An 18,220-nucleotide genomic window follows, 5' to 3' on the forward strand; every position below is an offset into this window, starting at 1 on the left:
TGCCCCCTAGTAAGGTAGTAAGAAATATTGTAAAAATGTTACAGCATCTGTATCGCTTGAAACTTCTTTGAAATGTAAAATCTTGGGTCTCACCACAGATAATACTGACTTGGAAACTCTGGGGTGAGCTCCAGAGAGCTGGGTTCTGACGGCCCTCCCAGTCACCCTGATGCAGGCTGACATTGAGAACCACTGTTTGTTAGGAGAATTTTGAGGCATGGGCTTTCCGATGGAGAAGGCTAGTGCTGATGTTTGACTAACTCCTTTTTTGTTTTTAACAAAGTCATGCAAAGGTGAATCTACTAGTTTAGGATTCTCTGAGTGAAGCGCCTTGAGAAAGAATGATATTTTATAGCAATATTCAGCGGCAGATTTTTATCGAGCTTCAGTAAATCCCTCCTGGACAAGGGGAGATGAGGCTCTCTGGGTGACTGCAAGATGTGAACCCAGACAAAGACAGTCCAGGAGCCCTGACCCCCCATCCTTCTCTGGTATTTACGTCTCTGTGTTGGCCGTCACAGCACCTTGCCCTCCCTCACCAAGGGCTGGCCTGCTCATGAAATTGACATTTTGGATTTTACCAAAATGAATCGGAAAAGATACCAGATATGGGCTGTTAGAGAAACATGGGAATACCTAATAACATGAACTTTTCTGTGGATTTGAGCACATCTATGTATGTGTCTATGTACTTGTCTGTGTATGTGTGTTTCTGTGTCTGTGAGTGCCTGTGTGTGTGTGCGTCTGTGTAGGCATGTGTGCCTCTGTGTCTGTGTGTGAGATCATATCTGTGTCTGTGTCTGTGAGTGCCTGTGTGTGTGCACGTCTGTGTAGGCATGTGTGCCTCTGTGTCTGTGTGAGATCATGGCTGTGTCTGTGTCTGTGAGTGCCTGTGTGTGTGTCTGTGTAGGCATGTGTGCCTCTGTGTCTGTGTGTGAGATCATGCCTGTGTCTGTGTCTGTGAGTGCCTGTGTGTGTGTCTGTGTAGGCATGTGTGCCTCTGTGTCTGTGTGTGAGATCATGCCTGTGTCTGTGTCTGTGAGTGCCTGTGTGTGTGTGCATATGTTTGCATAGGCATGTGTGCCTCTGTGTCTGTGTGTGAGATCATGCCTATGTCTATGTGAGTGCCTGTGTGTGTGTGTGTGTGTGTGTGTATGTGAGCTTGTTTCTGTGTCTGTGTGTATGTCTCCCTGTGTGTGTGAGCGTGTGTGTTTCTGTGTCTGTGTGTGTGTCTCCCTGTGTGTGTGAGCATGTGTGTTTCTGTGTCTGTATGTCTCCCTGTGTGTGTGAGCGTGTGTGTTTCTGTGTCTGTATGTCTCCCTGTGTGTGTGAGCGTGTGTGTTTCTGTGTCTGTATGTCTCCCTGTGTGTGTGAGCGTGTGTGTTTCTGTGTCTGTATGTCTCCCTGTGTGAGCGTGTGTGTTTCTGTGTCTGTGTGTATGTCTCCCTGTGTGTGTGAGCGTGTGTGTTTCTGTGTATGTATGTTTCCCTGTGTGTGTGAGCATGTGTGTTTCTGTGTCTGTATGTCTCCCTGTGTATGTGAGTGTGTGTTTCTGTGTCTGTGTGTATGTCTCCCTGTGTATGTGAGCGTGTGTTTCTGTGTCTGTGTGTATGTCTCCCTGTGTGTGTGAGCGTGTGTGTTTCTGTGTCTGTATGTCTGTGTGTGTGAGCGTGTGTGTTTCTGTGTCTGTGTGTATGTCTCCCTGTGTGTGTGAGCATGTGTGTTTCTGTGTCTGTGTGTATGTCTCCCTGTGTGTGTGAGCGTGTGTGTTTCTGTGTCTGTATGTCTGTGTGTGTGAGCGTGTGTGTTTCTGTGTCTGTGTGTATGTCTCCTTGTGTGTGTGAGCATGTGTTTCTGTGTCTGTGTGTATGTCTCCCTGTGTATGTGAGCGTGTGTATTTCTGTGTCTGTGTGTATGTCTCCCTGTGTATGTGAGCTTGTTTCTGTGTCTGTGCGTATGTCTCCCTGTGTGTGTGAGCGTGTGTGTTTCTGTGTCTGTGTGTATGTCTCCCTGTGTGTGTGAGCGTGTGTGTTTCTGTGTCTGTGTGTGTATCTCCCTGTGTATGTGAGCTTGTTTCTGTGTCTGTGTGTATGTCTCCCTGTGTGTGTGAGCGTGTGTGTTTCTGTGTCTGTGTGTATGTCTCCCTGTGTGTGTGAGCGTGTGTGTTTCTGTGTCTGTGTGTATGTCTCCCTGTGTGTGTGAGCGTGTGTGCGTCTGTGTCTGTGTGTCTCCTTGCGTGTGTCTGTGTGTGTGTCGTGTGTGTGTGTGTGTTCTCACCCTCACCCTGTGGCTAGAGAACCCGGCTAAGTGAAAAGCAATTGGTAGGCTGAGCTGACCAGTCCTTCCAATCTCAAGTGCTGTCTCTGGAAAAAGTACACCGAGGACCCAGCCCCTAGGGCTGCAGGCAGAACCGACGCACCTAGTGACACCTTTCACCCGCCCTCCACGGGCAGTGGCTGGGTCATCACTGGGTCATCTCCCTGGCACGAGGGATGCCTGGCTGACTCCTGCAAGGTCTCACCCGTTCCTGATCTGAACGCCTTCCTCTGTGAGCTACTGATGGAGGCAGCCCTGCTGGCATGCTGTATAGCTGAGGAGCCTCTGGTTTCCTTCCTGGAAAATGGGGCAATACCTGCCTGGAAGGCTGCTGTGAGGACTAATCTAAGAATCTCTGTACAAAAACAGCAGCTGTGGTTGCAGGCCACAGGGGGTGTTCTGCAAGGACCCCGAAGGACCCATTCAGAAGAGCCTTCACCTGCTCCTGCTATCCTAACCCCATCGGCTGCAGGGAGTCCTGGGAGGCTGAGGGCCCTCCCTCCTCGTGGCACGCATGCAGCTGCAGAGCTGGAGAGCGGAGCCCTCTCCTCTGCCAGCCTGCTCAGGACTGTGACCCTGGGTGGGGACCAGGGAGCCTGCCGGCCTTAAACCCTGCAAAGTAGAGGAGCCCAGCATGAGCCCGGTTCTCACTTCCCCTGCAGGCCACTGACACGGAGAGCGGGTCCTTCCTTGTTACTGCACCCTGAGCGCATCTCTGCTGCAATTTGCTCTCAGCGCCTCCACTGAAAGTTGCCTGCATCCATTCAGTTCTGACAGCCATATCCGAAATCAGCTCCCTCTCGGTGCTGGATCCCCTTTGGCTCCTGGAGGCCCAAGAGAGGGGCCGACCCAGTACCTACTGGATCACGGTGGCAGCCGCTGTTTCCTGGGAAGCATGTTGCGCCCACACTCCCTCTGCACATTTTACCTACCAGCCGGGACTGAGATGTGAAATGGGATGAGCTGGAAAAGGCAGGTAGATGTCGTACACATCCCAACACCAGCTCCCCACCGTTCTCTCTCTATCACGCAAGCACGTGCAAGGACGCAGGCCCATACCACTTTCTAGGAATTCTGTGGCGAAAATAACAACCCACAGTCATCTGCACAGCAATTATTATTCATTATAACTGAACTTTCCCTCTAAAACCGAAGCTTCCCTTTCTTACTGCAAAACCCAACCAGAAGGTCTGCATGCTTTATTCCTAATCAAAAGAAGAATGCTAACACCTCCCTGGCAGAGCATCACTCTCCGCGCTTCAGCAGCCCCTGGCTTTGTTTCTCTGGTTTTTGCTCCTCTGAAGTGAGGTGAGAAAGGGACTGGGGATGTGCACATCACAGGAGCCCCTTCGGCAGGGCTGTCTGCAGCGGGGCACTGTGCAGGGTGCACGGGAGGAGGGGAAACAACCTCTGCCCTCCAGCTCTGGTACCTAAGTCCCCTCTTGGGAAATGAAGGGATAATGCAATAGGCTCCAGAAGGAATCTGACCAGGTTGATGCCTTAGGAGCTGAGAGTGGAGGTGAAGGGGAGGAGGCACATCAAGGGGGCTGATGGACCCTAATTGTGCATGATAGGGTGGGTTTGTAGTTGCAGAAATAGACCCTGGATGTGTCCGAGGTTCACTCTGTCAATGTATTCACACTAAACCTGCCCTGCAGAGGGCTGGAACGTGAATAAAAAATCCTATCATGATTGCTCTGGAGGGGGCTGGCACGAGTGAGGCGACCTGATCCCCACGTCAGCATTCATGCTCATATTTTGGGGTGATGCAGGGCGATGCCAAAGAGCAGGTGGCTGGAAGTTTTAGAGGAAGGTCCCCTGGGGGGCACTCTGGGTTGTCCTTTGTCATTGGAGCTGATGGCGTCCTAGGCTGACTTCTCCCCGGGGTCTTCCCAGCCCTGGTGCGTGTTGCTTTGTGAGGCGCTGATCTGCTGGAGGGTGGGATGTACTTGCACTTAGAAAGGGCGTTCTGAAGGGCAGGCGGTGGCAAGAGGTTATTGGGACTGAATCAAACCCCACTTGCTTTGGAGTTCAGCAGAGTTGGGTTCTAATTCTAACTCTACTACTTACTGGCTGGCCGTGTGAGGAGAATTCAAGATCACTTAACCTCGCCTAACTTCATTGCTTCATTCTGTCTGTGGAATTGGGAGAACCCCCTCTGGATTTTGCTGTGGGAGTGAAATGAGCTCCTGTGTGTGGGGCTCTGAGGCACGGGCCCCGGGGAGAGCAACGTGGGGTGAGCAGCCTTCACCACGAGGACGTCCTGACGACAGTGACTCTCTCTGGCTCTGCCAACCTGACCACAGCGATCCAGGGAGGATCCTCCTGGCTGGGTGGCAAGTGACGTCTCTGAGATTATAAAGCTATAGTCACACACCCCCTCCCCACCTGGAAACTATAGAAAGGCAGTTCCCCCACACTCCCTAGTGGGTAGCCTGCTCCACTCTGCCTGGAAACCTTTTCTCAACAGCCTCTGAGCTGCTGGCAGCATCCCCTGGTGCCCTCCCCAGCCTGCAGCTTCCAGGGAGCTGGGAGGAGCATGCCCTTGGACTGTCTCTGTCCTCTGGCTGACACAGCCGCTTCCTTTATGTAGGACACTGGCCCCTCATTTGCTCAGCTTTGGGACCTGCAGGTGGACATTTGGCCCAGTCCCAGGCTGGAGGCCCTGCGGCTTTCCCAGGCCAGCTCATCATGCCACCTCCCTGCCTCTGTTTGAGAAGCCTCCTTTCCCTAACATTCCTGCATTCCTAGAGAGCAGAGGGCCTCTGGAGGCAGCAGTGCATACCCTGGCCCTGGAGATGACCCGTGCAAGATACAGGCTGGGCCAACTCCTTGGGACTCCATGTCTCCAGCTGTGTAGGACAACGACACTCCCAGCCCCACCATGGTGAAGAGCCTGAGTTGGAGGTGGGCAAGAAGACCAAGGGCATGAGTGAGCCTCAGGGGTGAGTGAGCCCCCACTAGGGTGAACGTGAATCTGTTCTGTGGACGCTGGCCCAGAGCCCAGAAGGAAGACCCACTCCGAGCTGCTCAGGGCTGGGATAGGACCATCTAGGTGGAAGGCTCAACCCAAGAATGAGCTTTCTAGAAATTCTAAGTTGGAGTGAATTTTTAAAACAATAGCTTCCATAGGTGTCATGTGTAATTGTTACAAAGCCCCTGGGAAGAGGGATTAATGGTGGCCCTTTGAGATCCTTGCAGAAGCCCAGCAGTTGGGCCCTTGACAAGAACAATCAGCTTGGGGGGCAGCTAGCACTGCCCAACCCCAGTCAGTCCTTCCTGATGCACTCCTCAAGCCAGATGAGGCTCCCCAGCCAGCATCCATGGGAAGCAGCTGGGGGCTCATGGAGAGTCGGGCATCCATGGGAAGCAGCTGGGGGCTCATGGAGAGTCGGGCAGGCAGGCTGACAGCACTCAGACTTCCCCAGAACTGAATGGCAATGTGGGGTCATGGCAGTTTGTCTCTGATCCCGTCTGTTTCTGACCCTCTATTTACTCTGCTGCAAACACATTGGCCTCCATCTTCAGCTGGTCCCCTGTACGCCAAGCACATTCCTGCCTCAGGGCCTTTGTGCTTTCTACTTTTCTGCTGGCAGTGCTCCGCCCCCTCGTAGCAAGTGAATAGCTCCTTCACTTCTTATCAGAAATGCCCGCCAATCGCCCTATTTCAGTAGACACAGAGCCACAGCACACTCTCTCCTTACCTTTTTTTAAAAAAATCATTTTGCTTAAGGATTTCAATGTGACATAGTAGCATTCACTTGTTTATTTGTTTAGTGTCAATCTACCTCCACAAAAATAGAAGTTCCACACGAGCAGGGACATTGTTTTGTTCACTTTTTCACCCATAGTGTCTAGAATATCGGCATAAAGAAGACACTCAATATATAAGTTTTTAGAATCAAGTCATGGTAACTAGAGGGTTTTTCCAGCTCTGACATCCCACAGCCTTGTCCTACATAAGAAGTGCTATCCTGGGCTCAGGATGCTTACAAAGAAGTCTGGAGTTGGCCCTGCCTCCCAGGATCTTCCCATGTCAAAGGAGTGGGAGGAGGAACACATAAGGGGCTAAACAGACAGGGGCTGATGAGGGTCCCCTCCCCAGTCCCCACCAGAGAGCTACAGGCCACAGGCCACAGACCACGGTCTCCCAGGAGGCCTCTCTCAGAGCAGGCTGGGCCTGGGAACTTGCTCACCATCCTGTCAGGAACTACAGTTGACCCTCAAATAATGCGGTGGTTGGGGGTGCCGACCCCTTGCTTAGTTGAAAATTCATGTATAACTTTTGACTTCTCAAAAATTTAAGTCCTAATAATTTACTGTTGCCCAGAAGCCTTGCTGAGAACATGAACTGTCAATTAACATGGATTTTGCATGTTATGTGTTATATACCATAATCTCACAATAAAGTAAGCTAGAGGAAAGAAAATGGTATTAAGAAAATAGTAAGGAAGGGAAAATGTATTTACTATTAATCAAATGGAAGTGGACCATCATAAAGGTCTTCATCCTCGCCATGTTCACCATGAGTAGGCTGAGGAGGAAGAGGAGGAGGAGGAAGGAGAATCGGTCCTGCTGTCTCAAGGGTGGCGGAGGCAGAAGAGGAGGAGGCAGGAAGTGCAGGCACTCTTGGTGTAACTTTTACTTTATGTGGATCCACGTATAAGTGGATCCGTGCAGTTCAAATCATGTTGTTCAAGGGTCAACCGCATCTGGTTCAGAAACTCCTCTATGTGCCCCTCATGGCTCAGTCCCACCTGAATACGGCCATAACGAGGCTGGCCGAGAGGCACAGATCGGAATGGGGTCATTTCCTTTGATTTCCTTTGATGTTTTCAAAGGTAGAAAATAATTTCGGGCCTTTTCTAAGAAGCACTTAGCTGTGGGCTGGAGGTTGGAGAATGTTCCATCTGCTGGAAATGCTAATTAGAGGCAATCATAACCCAGACTTGACCTGCCAGGGCACACTGGAGTGAAGCGGCGCCCTGGTGGGAGGGTGTGGGGGCAGCGGAGCCCAGGCCGCAGGGCCACGTTCTGCCCCAGTTCGGGACAACCTGAACTGCTGGACTCAGAGACAGCAGGGACTGAGCTGGGAAACACTCACCTCACTTGCGGGTCAGGACTCAGGGGCAGGTCAGGGCTCAGTCCCAGGGCCCCTCCACGTCATGCAATGCTTCCCACTGCTGTTAGAAAGTAGCAAATGATTTCACTAACCCCATGTTCCAGGGGAGAAGGAAAATTGTACCTGCATGAAACGTGACAACACCGTCACGCGTGGTGTCAGCTGGTTGACAGCCATTTGCACCCTCCCAGCGCCCCTCCCACCCCAGTTGCTTGAATGTGATCTCGCTACCCAGAGGGATGCCTGCCCCTTCCAATTGCGGCTTCGGGCAGGGACACGGGACATCAGTGCTGGGTGACTCTAATGAGGGCTGTAAGGTTTGCGACCCGCTGTGGCCTGGGCCTTCCAGGGTCCCGGCAGAGCCCTCTGCTCCTCAGACCATCACCGGCCTGGCCCCAGGCTAGGGGCCTTCATGGGCGTCAGCGTGGGGCCGGCGTCCCGCCTTGCCTGTCTTCCCTGTCCACCTCACCTTCGCCCCCGGGGGTGGCTGCCGAGTGGGGCAGCCACAAGTTACTTGAATTAGTGCCGCCCAAGTGCCTCGGGTGGGAGTGGGGGATGCTGCAAGGGACGCACCGAAATATGAATGTCCAAGGTTTGTGCTCCTCAAAGAACAAAACCATTCCACAGGAGTGCCACTGGGAGAGGGACAGGCGGCCACAGGCGAGGGGGCCCCTGGGTCTGGTGGCGGAAGGGCTGTGAAGTCCCGCTGCTCCTCCCTGGCCTCTGCTGTAGATCTTTGGATGGTTTCCACCCCGCTCCCACCCCACGTATCCTCCAGCCCCACACTCACATCCCCTTGGTGCCGAATGTGTCCTAGCAAAGCAATCAGTGGACGTATTTTTAAAAGAAAACTCATTTACCACGCAGGCCTCTGGAGTCGTTGATGGAATAGCCCTCCTCTGAATGGAAATAGTGGTGTGATAGCCTCCCAGGAGTTATTATTGCACTGACACTGCAGCAGGCTAATAAACCCCGGAGGGGTGCGACGCGCGCTGCCAGGCAGTTCTCACATCTGGATGAGGAGCCGCAGATGCCGCGGGGGCGCGCCTGCAGCTCCCCAGAACGGCCACCGGAGGGCACCCGCGCCCCCCGAGCCGCGAGGCTGCCTCCACCGAGCTGGAGAACAGGCTCCCGGGGCGGGGGAGGGCCCCTCTCAGCGGACTCCAGACAGGGGGGAAAGCAGCTTGCCCGTCCTCCTTCCGTGCCCCTCCTGGGTTTCTGAAAGCGGGTTTCAAAGCAGGGTTGGAAGGAGCTTGGATAGCACACGCCACTAACTCAGAAAAACCTTGTTAATGGTTACTTTGAAAGTCCATGAAAAATGCCTTCCAAACACATCAGAATGGGATGGCACATGTCATTTCTCTTTTGGAGAAGTCAGTGAGTTTAGCTCCAAAACCCCAAAGGCGTTAAGAGTCGCGGCTCCTCCCTCCGCCTGCTGCTCCCAGGCACACGCTGGGCAGGCTCTTCTCTGGCTGCCCCCTCTGTGCCCCGGGTTGCTCTTGCCCTGCGGCAGCGCCTGGCCTGTCGGCTTCACACCCCCAGTGACTGTCCAGCATCTACCAGGCAGCAGGGCCCAGTTCATGCTGTGGGTTGAGCTTGATGCTGCTTCTTCAGGGGTGGGGGTGATGCGTGTGTGGAAGACACCAGCTGCTCCTAGAGATCAGACACCCAAACCGTCAGTCCTGCTGTCTGGAGCACCATTTTGAAACAGAAACTAGGACCCTCAGAAAATATTACCATCTTGCAGACCAATGGGCAGGTGTCCCATCCCCGTCTGAGATGGTGTCACCCCTGCTCAGAGGCCTGTGAAGCCCCACACATTGTAGAGGTGTTTCCTTAGGATTGTTAGAGCCCTGGTGCGTTCTGCAGGACACACTCTTAGTTAGCTAGTTGGTTTTTAAAAATGCATTTAGTTAGTTTTAATTTTACACGTGCATGCCTTCAGTGAAAACGAGAGCTACCAATAAATTGGATGTTTGTTAAGGAAAATCCCCGCAGCCCCCGAGGAAGGAAGGAACACTCTCCAAGGATGTCTCCCTACCCGGAGCTCTGCTTTTTACTTGTGAGGACCGAGCCCCTTCTCCTGGGAGCCAGTGCACTGCCTGTGGCTCAGCATGAGGCAGCGGGGAGGGCCCAGGACCAGAGCCAGGCAGGAACACAGGTGGCCCGGCAGGGAAGGCTGCTCTGGCCCTGCCTTGCCTCCCCACCCAGTATTGCCCAGCCCCTCAGAAGCTAGCCATGGTAAAAAGGCTTGGCTCAGGAGGGGCTGGAAGGACTGAGAAAGGAGAAGGGTCAGAGCCAGGGCAGAGTGAATCTGTGTCTCTTCTGATCCCAGCACAGGACAAAAGCTCTTTAGAAAAACAACTTTCAGGGGTTTAATTCAACACTATCTCAGTCCCTAGGCCAGACTCATGAGATTCATCCCCTGGAATTCAGTTTCCCCACAGATGTTGCTTTTGGCCCCATTGCCCTGGAAGCACTCAGTCCTTCACAGATGTTCTGAGGACAGGTGGAGGTGAAGTCCTTTAGGAGGGGCTGGCTGGGCCTCAGCAGCCTTCTGAGAGGACGGAAAACGGAAGGCCAGCAAGGGTGCCATGGATCTTGGGTCCTCTCTGTCCCATCTCCCCTCCCATACCGCAGGCTTGGACTGCACTCCTCAGAAGGTGGGGTCAAAGCTGTTCTCACCCTTCCTGCTGGCAGCTGGCACCCCAGGCCACCTCCTCCCACTCTTGCCACCTGCCAGCCTTCCAGAGAGACTCAGCAATACCAGTTATTACTGGTCGTATACCTATTACCTGGGTAGAGGGATTCTCATTTACACAGTTGGCTCCCTCGTCCACATATGATGAAATTCTATGGGATAACCCTATGCTGTTGTGTTGGCAATGACAGCAGAGAGGACATGAACCTGGTGGTCTCACAGGCAGAGACCCATGTTGCTGAATTCATGATGAGATCTCATGATCACTCATGATGAGATCAGCACGTCTCTCCCCTCACACGTCTGTCCCTGAGCTCACCTATTTGTGGAACTGGGTAGAGGAGCACACCAAGATGGCAGAGAAGGCCTGGAATCCAGATGAGAGGAGAGAAAAGTATGACACGCAGCGAGGCTTCCCTGAACACCTTGGTGCAACTCACACATTCACAGATATTTCATTAGGAATATGAACAAAACTGTCAGAATTCCAGAAATCGAGGGGCAGGCATTCTCCCAGGGGGATGCATGTAGCAGGTAGAGATGTGAACCCCAGTACCAGAAGAGGTGGGCATGACACACAAACACCCCGAGATCAGATGGCAGAAACCCGGCCCAAGCCAGCCCAGCGCACCTAGTCAGTTCCCGGGGACTGTGGAGATGCTGCACGGGCTCAGCGCGAACCTTGCTGCACGGGCTCAGCATGGGCTCACGGCAGAACCCAAGCACCCAGGGGACTCCACGCTTACCCGGAAGGGAAAGCGTTCTCTGCCCTCAGAAACATACACCGTGGACGCTGCCTTGTACGGAAATACAGAACACACTTCCCATCTGCAAGGTGTCAGAGCGCGGGGCGCGGGGCCTGAGTGCGGGAGAATGGCTGGAAGCAGTGAGAAGCAGCCTGGGGTCCAAGGAAGGCAGGACGTGGGTGCTAAGCGTAGGCCGTGGCCCACATCCTTGGGGAACAAAATGGGAGGATTCCTCCTTACAGTTTGGGATCATGGAGCAGAGCCAGCCTGAGGCACACGGCGGGTGAAGACGGGGCTCAGAAGGAAGCTGTTTGTCCTGTCCACCCCGTCACTTCCCCATCAGAGCGGAGAGAAATGTCAAGGGGCGGGTGGAAGTGGAAGCTGCCTTGATCGAAACCCAGGGAGGAGAAGGGGAAATCCTCAGCGAGGGCCCTTGGAGCGGGTGGGGAGCAAGGGGCTTTGATCACTCAGCGGGGCCTTGCCCTTTCTGGAAGGGTGTGCGGTCTGGGTGGGCGAGTCTCAGACCGCAGAGGATCCGGCGCCTGCCCCACTCTGGAGCCGGGGAGCCCTGGGCTGTGCTCTAAGCAAAGCCTGCAGCCCCCGGAGGGCGCACCAGGGGCCCAGGCCACCCCCGGCCCTGCACCCACAGCCTACGGCCCGTCCCCCCGCAGTGCCAGGGCGGTTCCTTCAGTCCTTGACCTTCGCAGAACGTAGTTCAGATCCTCAGGCCCAGCAAGCGCCCCTCTGTTGGCGGCCGGGGGCCGCGGGGAGTTCGCCCCTGTGGGTCTGGGCCCAAGGCGCTGCCCGGATGATAAGGCAGCTTCTTCGGCGGCCGCTCCTTTTCCGCCCCGTGCGCCCAGGGAGTCCACGTCACGAGGAGCTCCGGGTCCAGGCTGGCCGAGCCGAGAGCCGCGGGGCGTGGGCAGGCGTGGACCCCACACCACCTTGCTCCCTCCTGGCCCCCCGCCAAGGCGATGTCGTCGCCTGGACTCCATCCCCTTGTCTTCCCTGAAAGCCCCCCCCCGACTTCCCTTCCATGTCCTTCACTGTTTTCTCTCCTCCTTCTCTTCCATGTTGTCTTCTGCTGAATATAAACCCCACAGCGGGTAAAGATGGCAACCCCAGGGCGCAGCCACCCCGCGCTCCCGCTCGGCCCCGCCAGGTGGCGCTGGCGCGTTCTTTCCGCGGCGCGGGGCTGAGCGGAGCGGGGCTGGGCTGGGCGCAGCGGTCCCGGGGCTGGGAGGGAGGCGGCGCATCCACACAGCTCCGCCAGGTGCCAGGCGTCTTTCGTGTGTCATGTTACTCATTACTCATAACACGAACAAAACAAGACTGCTGGGCGAGGTAAATATCGTTAGCTTTTCTAAATGAAGAAGTTGAACACTATGGCATCTGATCGAGAAAAAAGAGGGAGCTGGACCCCCTCCTGGATGGGACTGCGGGCAGGCGTGGGAACTGTCATCAAGGCATCCCACATGGCCCCTAGGTAAGCACGAGTGAAAAGTCTCAAAGGGAAGGGAGGAAAAACAGAGGAAACGGGCAGGGAGTCACAGGCTGACACTTCGCGGTTCTTTACAACCTCGGTCTTTCTCTTGTCCTTCCACTCTAGGGCTTGAAACCTTCCCTCCAGGATTGACTCTGATGCCCCTAGACCCTGCCTACAAGAGGTGCCACCTCCCATGCAGACCTCTGGGTGATGCTGGCACAGGGCTAGTCCATCTCCCATGCAGATCTCTGAGTGATGCTGACACAGGGCTAGCCTATCTCCCATGCAGATCTCTGGGTGATGCTGACACAGGGCTAGCCTATCTCCCATGCACATCTCTGAGTGATGCTGACACAGGGCTAGCCTATCTCCCATGCAGATCTCTGAGTGATGCTGACACAGGGCTAGCCTACCTCCCATGCAGATCTCTGGGTGATGCTGACACAAGCCTAGACCATCTCCCAGGCAGATCTCTGAATAATGCTAGGTCCTTTTTGAAGAAACTGAGAGAGAAAGAGAGGGGATAGAGAGGAGACAGAATGAGAGTAGACAGAGGAAAGAGAGAGCGTTTCCATTTTGGCATCTGGGCCAAGAAATGCAGCCATATAAAACTGTTCTTACCTAAGCTTTGATGTGGCATCAGGGATGAAAGTGCCTTCCCTAGCTTCATAAAGGATGTCACACAAATGCAGAGAATCAGGCAAGAACCCAAGAAACCAAATCACCCAAACCTCTGTGTGACTCCTTCAGGGTTATAGACCCTGAAAGTAAAGTCAGAGGCAAAAAAGGGGTTAAAAAGGAGACTCGATTGCCTAGTGATTCCAGGAAAGAATCAAAGGGGTGAATGTCACTGAGCATTCAGGGTTAGTGTCAGATGCTTCAGCCAAGAAATCGCACGGCAGGTCATTAAATGAATTTAGCTGGGATTCTGGGTTTTACATTGTGGTTAATTAATCTATGTAAGTATTTATAGTAGTAATGGCAGAGCAGGGACCATCAGCCAAGACAAGTCATTAGAAGGCCAAGTTGGGCAGGCCTGCAGATGGGTGGGGAGGGTTGGGACTGGGAGTTTGGCCTTGCAGGGAATCACTGTGTTCTGGGCATGGGGGTCAGGGCAGAGGTGGGCTGGGGAAATTCACAAACAATCCCAGAGCTCAGGAGTCAACACCCTGGGCAGGCTGACTGCGAGTGGGGCAGAGGCTGATTCAGGGGATTGCTTTCCTCTTTCTTAGTTGTTCTGTCTCTGTGAGGGATGAGGAAAAAAATCTCCAGCTGAAAAATGTCACCTTCAACCTGACACTGGAGCCAGAACATTTACAAATCTGCCTGTCACCATGACAGCCTGACGGATAGCAACCTTAGCCGGGACGGAGTTAAATCGCCAGGATAAGTCTTGCAAAAAGTTTTGGCTCTTAAGATTTTTATCATCAAGACAGGTTAAGGAATGGGGGGCATGGCTTCCAAACACGAAGGAGACTCAGGCCCCGTGCCTGACTTCCCAGGAAATCCAGCAGCTGCAGGATTATCTATTACCTGAGGGGAGGTGACAGGAGAAAATTACCCAGCACCAGCCCCATCTGTTGCTGAGCACCGTTTATTTCACCTTCACTTAATTCACTTGGTTTGTCATTTTTCCTTTGTCTCAGTGTCATCCACCCAAATCCTATGTATATATGCCCTGGTGTTCCCAGCTGGGCATTGTGGCTGCAGAGACAAAGCCTCGGGTATCTTTTCAATGAGCTGCAGTCACTATGGAGTGTCTCTCTCCTCCCCTCTCCACTGTCATTTCCTCCATAATTGATTAGAAACTGGAAGCGAGAGAGGAGAAGCTGCTTTTACAGCCTGGGTCTGCAGGTGGAAGCACATTCCTGTGTTTGACTTCGTCTCTGGAGACCTGTCTCTTTCAGGAAGAGGTGGAAGAGTATACATGAAGTATAGCAGACTTGTGTCACTAGGAGAGAGATTGCAAAATCTGGGCTCTCACACTATTCTTGGATGCTTGGTCACCCACCTCTCCCCGACTTTCGTTTTCTCCTCTGTCACATGGATCTAACACTTGTTCTCCTCCCTGCCAAGGTTGCTGTGAAGGCTCAATGAGACAGTATTTGCAGATGCTCACTACATCATATAGAGGCCTATTCAATGAGAACATGCATTTAAAGCAGTTAATGGTGCCTCGCATAGGAGAATTGTTCAATAAGGACCATTATTATTAGTGAGAATGTAAGTAATAGTGATGACTTGTTACCCTTGCAGCATCTACTCTTCCTCTAGTTCTCAAGCTACAGACCATTTTCATTCAACATTTATTCAGTCTCCACGGGCAGCACTGTATTCTGTCTTAGGGCTATGGTGATTTTTTAAAATGCAAACAAAATGCCATTGCTGGGTCTAGAAGCTGAGTCTGGTGGGAAAGGCCTGTGACAGAGTGGGAAGCAGGGCTTAGGTCTGCACCCAGCTCAGAGTAGGGGGAGTTGCCGGAGAAGTCCTGATGGAGAAAGTGACATCCCTCTGGGTTCTGAAGAGCTTAAGCCACCTGCTCGGTGGCGGGAAAGGGCGTGCAAGGCTGAAGCGGGAAGTGCAGTGAATGAGCTCAGGCAGGACAGGGAGCTGGGCCTGGGAACCACGGGCTGGCAGTACCTCCGAAGGACGGCTCCAGAGCCGAGACTGGACGTGTGGACAGAGGAGCTCTCGCTGAAGGAGCAGATTTGGTTTTATGCCAAGACCATGAGCTTTGCGGAAGGGCATAAAGGCTTTTAAACAGGATCAGGTGAGCCTGATGATCACTCAGGATTGGGTGGGGCGTGAATGCAGAGGAAAGATCAGCTGACAATGTAGGAATCTGGAACTCGCAGAGAAACTGCCTGCCCTTGGGACTCGCTCAGCGCCCTCGCAGCCGGAATGGGGCCTGGGAAGGGAGGAGCCCCAGCAGAGGGGCAGTCGGAGAGCCATGAAATTGCGACCTGCTGCCACCAGAGGGCAGTGTTGGACGGGCTGGGAGGAGCGCCGCCGCCGCCGGGAGGGTGCAGGAGAGAGCTGTCTGCCAGGGGAAACGCACGATGCGTTGTCCAGGACATTCTCACCTGAAAATGCTCTGGGCCACGGACAGGCTGAGGATTTTAGTACCCACCCCCCCGCCCTGAAAAGAAAAATCTCTGTGACGAGATAGGCACTGGGTTTGTATAAGAATTCAGAGTGTGGCCTTAGTGTCTTGGCCAGGCACCCAGATGCCACCTGCACACCTCTGGCTTGGTGTTGGTTTTATTGTGCTTGTCCTAAACCTAGCAGCTCCCCCTGAGATGATGTCAAAGACTGGACTGGGCTAGCTCAGAAAGGTTTCCTGAACGAATGACTTTACGCAAACCTTCATGCCGGCACATGTTTTCATACAGATTGTCTCATTGAATTTTTAGAGTGATCCGATGAGGCACATATTCAGGTTTTATAAATGCAATTCAGAGAAGTTACATGATTTTCCAGGAAATGAGGTTGTCGGGTTTTGATCCAATAGCTCAGACTCTTTCCTCTGTACCCAACAAACCTTGTCAGTCTCCTTTGTCCTTTGAAGTGGGGTGTTTTTCTCCTCCACAAGTGTCAAATCTGTGAATAGAGCATGTTTAGGAGCAACTTCACCGGCATGCCCACCTTGAGAACTAGGGGATGGAGCAGCGGGTCGGATGGAGAACCAGAAAGATTGAGCATTTATTGTAACAGAGGTCTTACATGGACGTTTCCCACGTAATCCTTAAGGCAACCCCATGGGTAGGATTATCATCCCAATATTCCATTGAGGAAAGAGGCTCAGAGAGGCAAACTTTCCCAAGGAAACACAGCTAGTATATATCAGAGGTCTATGTCCCTTCACTCCTGCGCTCTGGACTCTGATCCTGTCCCAAGAGTGACAGCAGCTGCAGTATGTGTGCCGCTCAAAGGACAGGGCTGGAGTGCATGAGAAAAACTGGACGTGTGGTGCAGAAAGGTGCATGTCTAATTATCATTGCAAACAACTAGCCTCTCAACAGAAAGTGTTGTTGATGTGACAGACATGAAAGAACCCACAGCCAAAGGGAGCCGGCCCCCAGGGGAAGGAGGGCGAATTGTACTTGGGACAAAAAGAGCTAACAGCCTCGGAGAGAACAAATGTCCTTGGTAGTATGGGGTGTGGGGTGATGTTGGGTGTTCATTGTCACGTGATGACTGTGGAAGGATGACACAGCACAGGACGCACCCGGGGAGGCCAGCAGGAAGGAGAGTTGAGTGCAAGTCCGGGAAAACAAGGCTTGATGATATGCTTTTGTATGGGAGTCTCAAGTTGCTTGAGTTAAGGTTGTCTGGGAGACATGAGTTACACCAGCACCCAGCACCATTACTTACTAGGCTCCAAAGAGGAAGACATATCAAGTTGTAGGGGCCTTCCCTTCTGCCCACAAGCCTGGATCAGACCACACAACATTGTGTTTCCATTTTCCATATGGATTCTGGACTCTTTCCAGAGAGTCATTCTTTCTCTATTAGTCCTTTTCTTTCGTACACCCTGTAGCTAAGTGACCCTCCACTGTACCTAACCTCTCTGAGCCTGATTCTCATGTGATAAATGTGGATGATACTGCTCTCCTAATGTGACTGCTATGAGAAGGGAAAGAATTGGCATAAATAATAGCAATTAGCTGAGGCAATGGCCCATGTTAAAGCCAAATAAATGTTGGTTTTATCTCTTGTTTCACCTTTGTGTCTCAAACAGGCACACCCACGCATGCACACACACACACACACACACACACAAGGCAAACCACAACCCTTGCCAATAAATCTATGCTAAGTCAGAGTTAACTTAGAAAATCAACATGGTGCAGAGGCTTTTAAAGGACTGACATTCCTCGGGTTATGGAAAACAATAATAATAAATCTTAAGGAATGTCACCTTGCCCCTGGCACTGAAGACAAGAACCCGTTTCGTTAGTGGAATAGCCCTGAGTATATGGAGAAAAGCGACAGAGATGATCTGTTCACAGCAAGGAGAGAGTGGCAGTTTTTAGACGAAGCCGGCTGGGGGCACGGTGGAATTGCCATGTAATTGTCAGGCTCTTTGCTTATTAATTTCTCAGATTTCCTTTCAAGATAAGGACACAAGGTAAGATGGATGTGAATATAATAAGCACAGAGATTACAGTCATTACAATTTTAGAATGAACTGGAAAATGTGGACACATCAGTCTGCAGCCAGTCGGATGGGTCTCTCAGAGCCTCTTGGAGACCACTGAGGGCTGCGGCCTGTGCCATAAGTGTGGGGCAATTTTGAAAGCCTTACTTGATCTACCGTTGCAGCTTCATCCAGAGTACTGTCTGATTGTTTTACATATTGGCTGATTATTTTCCATGCCCAGGACCTTTGGTAACCTTGGAAAATTGTTGGCCCTCCATTATCTCCTCAAGTATCACTTCTCAGCCCTCTTTCTGAAGCTCCTGTTAGGCATGCGTTGGGTCTTCTCACTCTTAACTGCTATTCCATAGTCCCCATTTCTGTATTTCTGGGTGACTTTCCGGGATTTATCTTCCAATTCAGTAATTTTATTTTTTCTGACAATGTTTAACCATTCCTTGAGATTTTGAAATTTTCCTGACTTGATTTTTTATTTTCAAAACTCTATATACTAGGAATGTACTTTTCAATGTCCTTTAATTTATGTATTTGATTCTTACGTATTTCCACATGAATTCCTGCATAGTCCCTCTTGCGTTATTTAATTACTTGCCATCCACAGGAGCCTAAGAAGGTGTGGTTTGTGATTTTTCCTCATGATCAGTTGTTTTCTCCTGTGCTTGGTAATTTGGACTATGAGAACAACTTC

At 52.3% G+C, this 18,220-nt stretch overlaps 1 protein-coding gene across 22 annotated transcripts in view, besides 6 other annotated features; it reads left to right on the forward strand.

Moving 5' to 3' along the window:
- Positions 1 to 18,220, forward strand: part of NTM (neurotrimin) — a 966,208-nt gene that overhangs the window by 309,044 nt on the left and 638,944 nt on the right. The gene's annotated exons all lie outside the window — the stretch shown is intronic.
- Positions 433 to 934: an enhancer, noted in NCBI's record as "H3K27ac hESC enhancer chr11:131549985-131550486 (GRCh37/hg19 assembly coordinates)". NCBI's record gives its function as "activates a minimal SCP1, AML or CMV promoter by ChIP-STARR-seq in naive H9 embryonic stem cells {active_cell/tissue: H9 hESC(naive)}" and the evidence as "EXISTENCE:reporter gene assay evidence [ECO:0000049][PMID:30033119]".
- Positions 935 to 1,434: an enhancer, noted in NCBI's record as "H3K27ac hESC enhancer chr11:131550487-131550986 (GRCh37/hg19 assembly coordinates)". NCBI's record gives its function as "activates a minimal SCP1, AML or CMV promoter by ChIP-STARR-seq in naive H9 embryonic stem cells {active_cell/tissue: H9 hESC(naive)}" and the evidence as "EXISTENCE:reporter gene assay evidence [ECO:0000049][PMID:30033119]".
- Positions 2,254 to 2,754: an enhancer, noted in NCBI's record as "H3K4me1 hESC enhancer chr11:131551806-131552306 (GRCh37/hg19 assembly coordinates)". NCBI's record gives its function as "activates a minimal SCP1, AML or CMV promoter by ChIP-STARR-seq in primed H9 embryonic stem cells {active_cell/tissue: H9 hESC(primed)}" and the evidence as "EXISTENCE:reporter gene assay evidence [ECO:0000049][PMID:30033119]".
- Positions 2,755 to 3,255: an enhancer, noted in NCBI's record as "H3K4me1 hESC enhancer chr11:131552307-131552807 (GRCh37/hg19 assembly coordinates)". NCBI's record gives its function as "activates a minimal SCP1, AML or CMV promoter by ChIP-STARR-seq in primed H9 embryonic stem cells {active_cell/tissue: H9 hESC(primed)}" and the evidence as "EXISTENCE:reporter gene assay evidence [ECO:0000049][PMID:30033119]".
- Positions 8,399 to 8,608: a silencer, noted in NCBI's record as "silent region_4083". NCBI's record gives its function as "represses an Ori minimal core promoter by ATAC-STARR-seq in GM12878 lymphoblastoid cells {active_cell/tissue: GM12878}" and the evidence as "EXISTENCE:reporter gene assay evidence [ECO:0000049][PMID:35858748]".
- Positions 11,011 to 11,534: an enhancer, noted in NCBI's record as "H3K27ac-H3K4me1 hESC enhancer chr11:131560563-131561086 (GRCh37/hg19 assembly coordinates)". NCBI's record gives its function as "activates a minimal SCP1, AML or CMV promoter by ChIP-STARR-seq in naive H9 embryonic stem cells {active_cell/tissue: H9 hESC(naive)}" and the evidence as "EXISTENCE:reporter gene assay evidence [ECO:0000049][PMID:30033119]".

Source organism: Homo sapiens, chromosome 11 (assembly GCF_000001405.40).
Source record: "Homo sapiens chromosome 11, GRCh38.p14 Primary Assembly".
NCBI classification, from domain to species: Eukaryota; Metazoa; Chordata; class Mammalia; order Primates; family Hominidae; genus Homo; species Homo sapiens.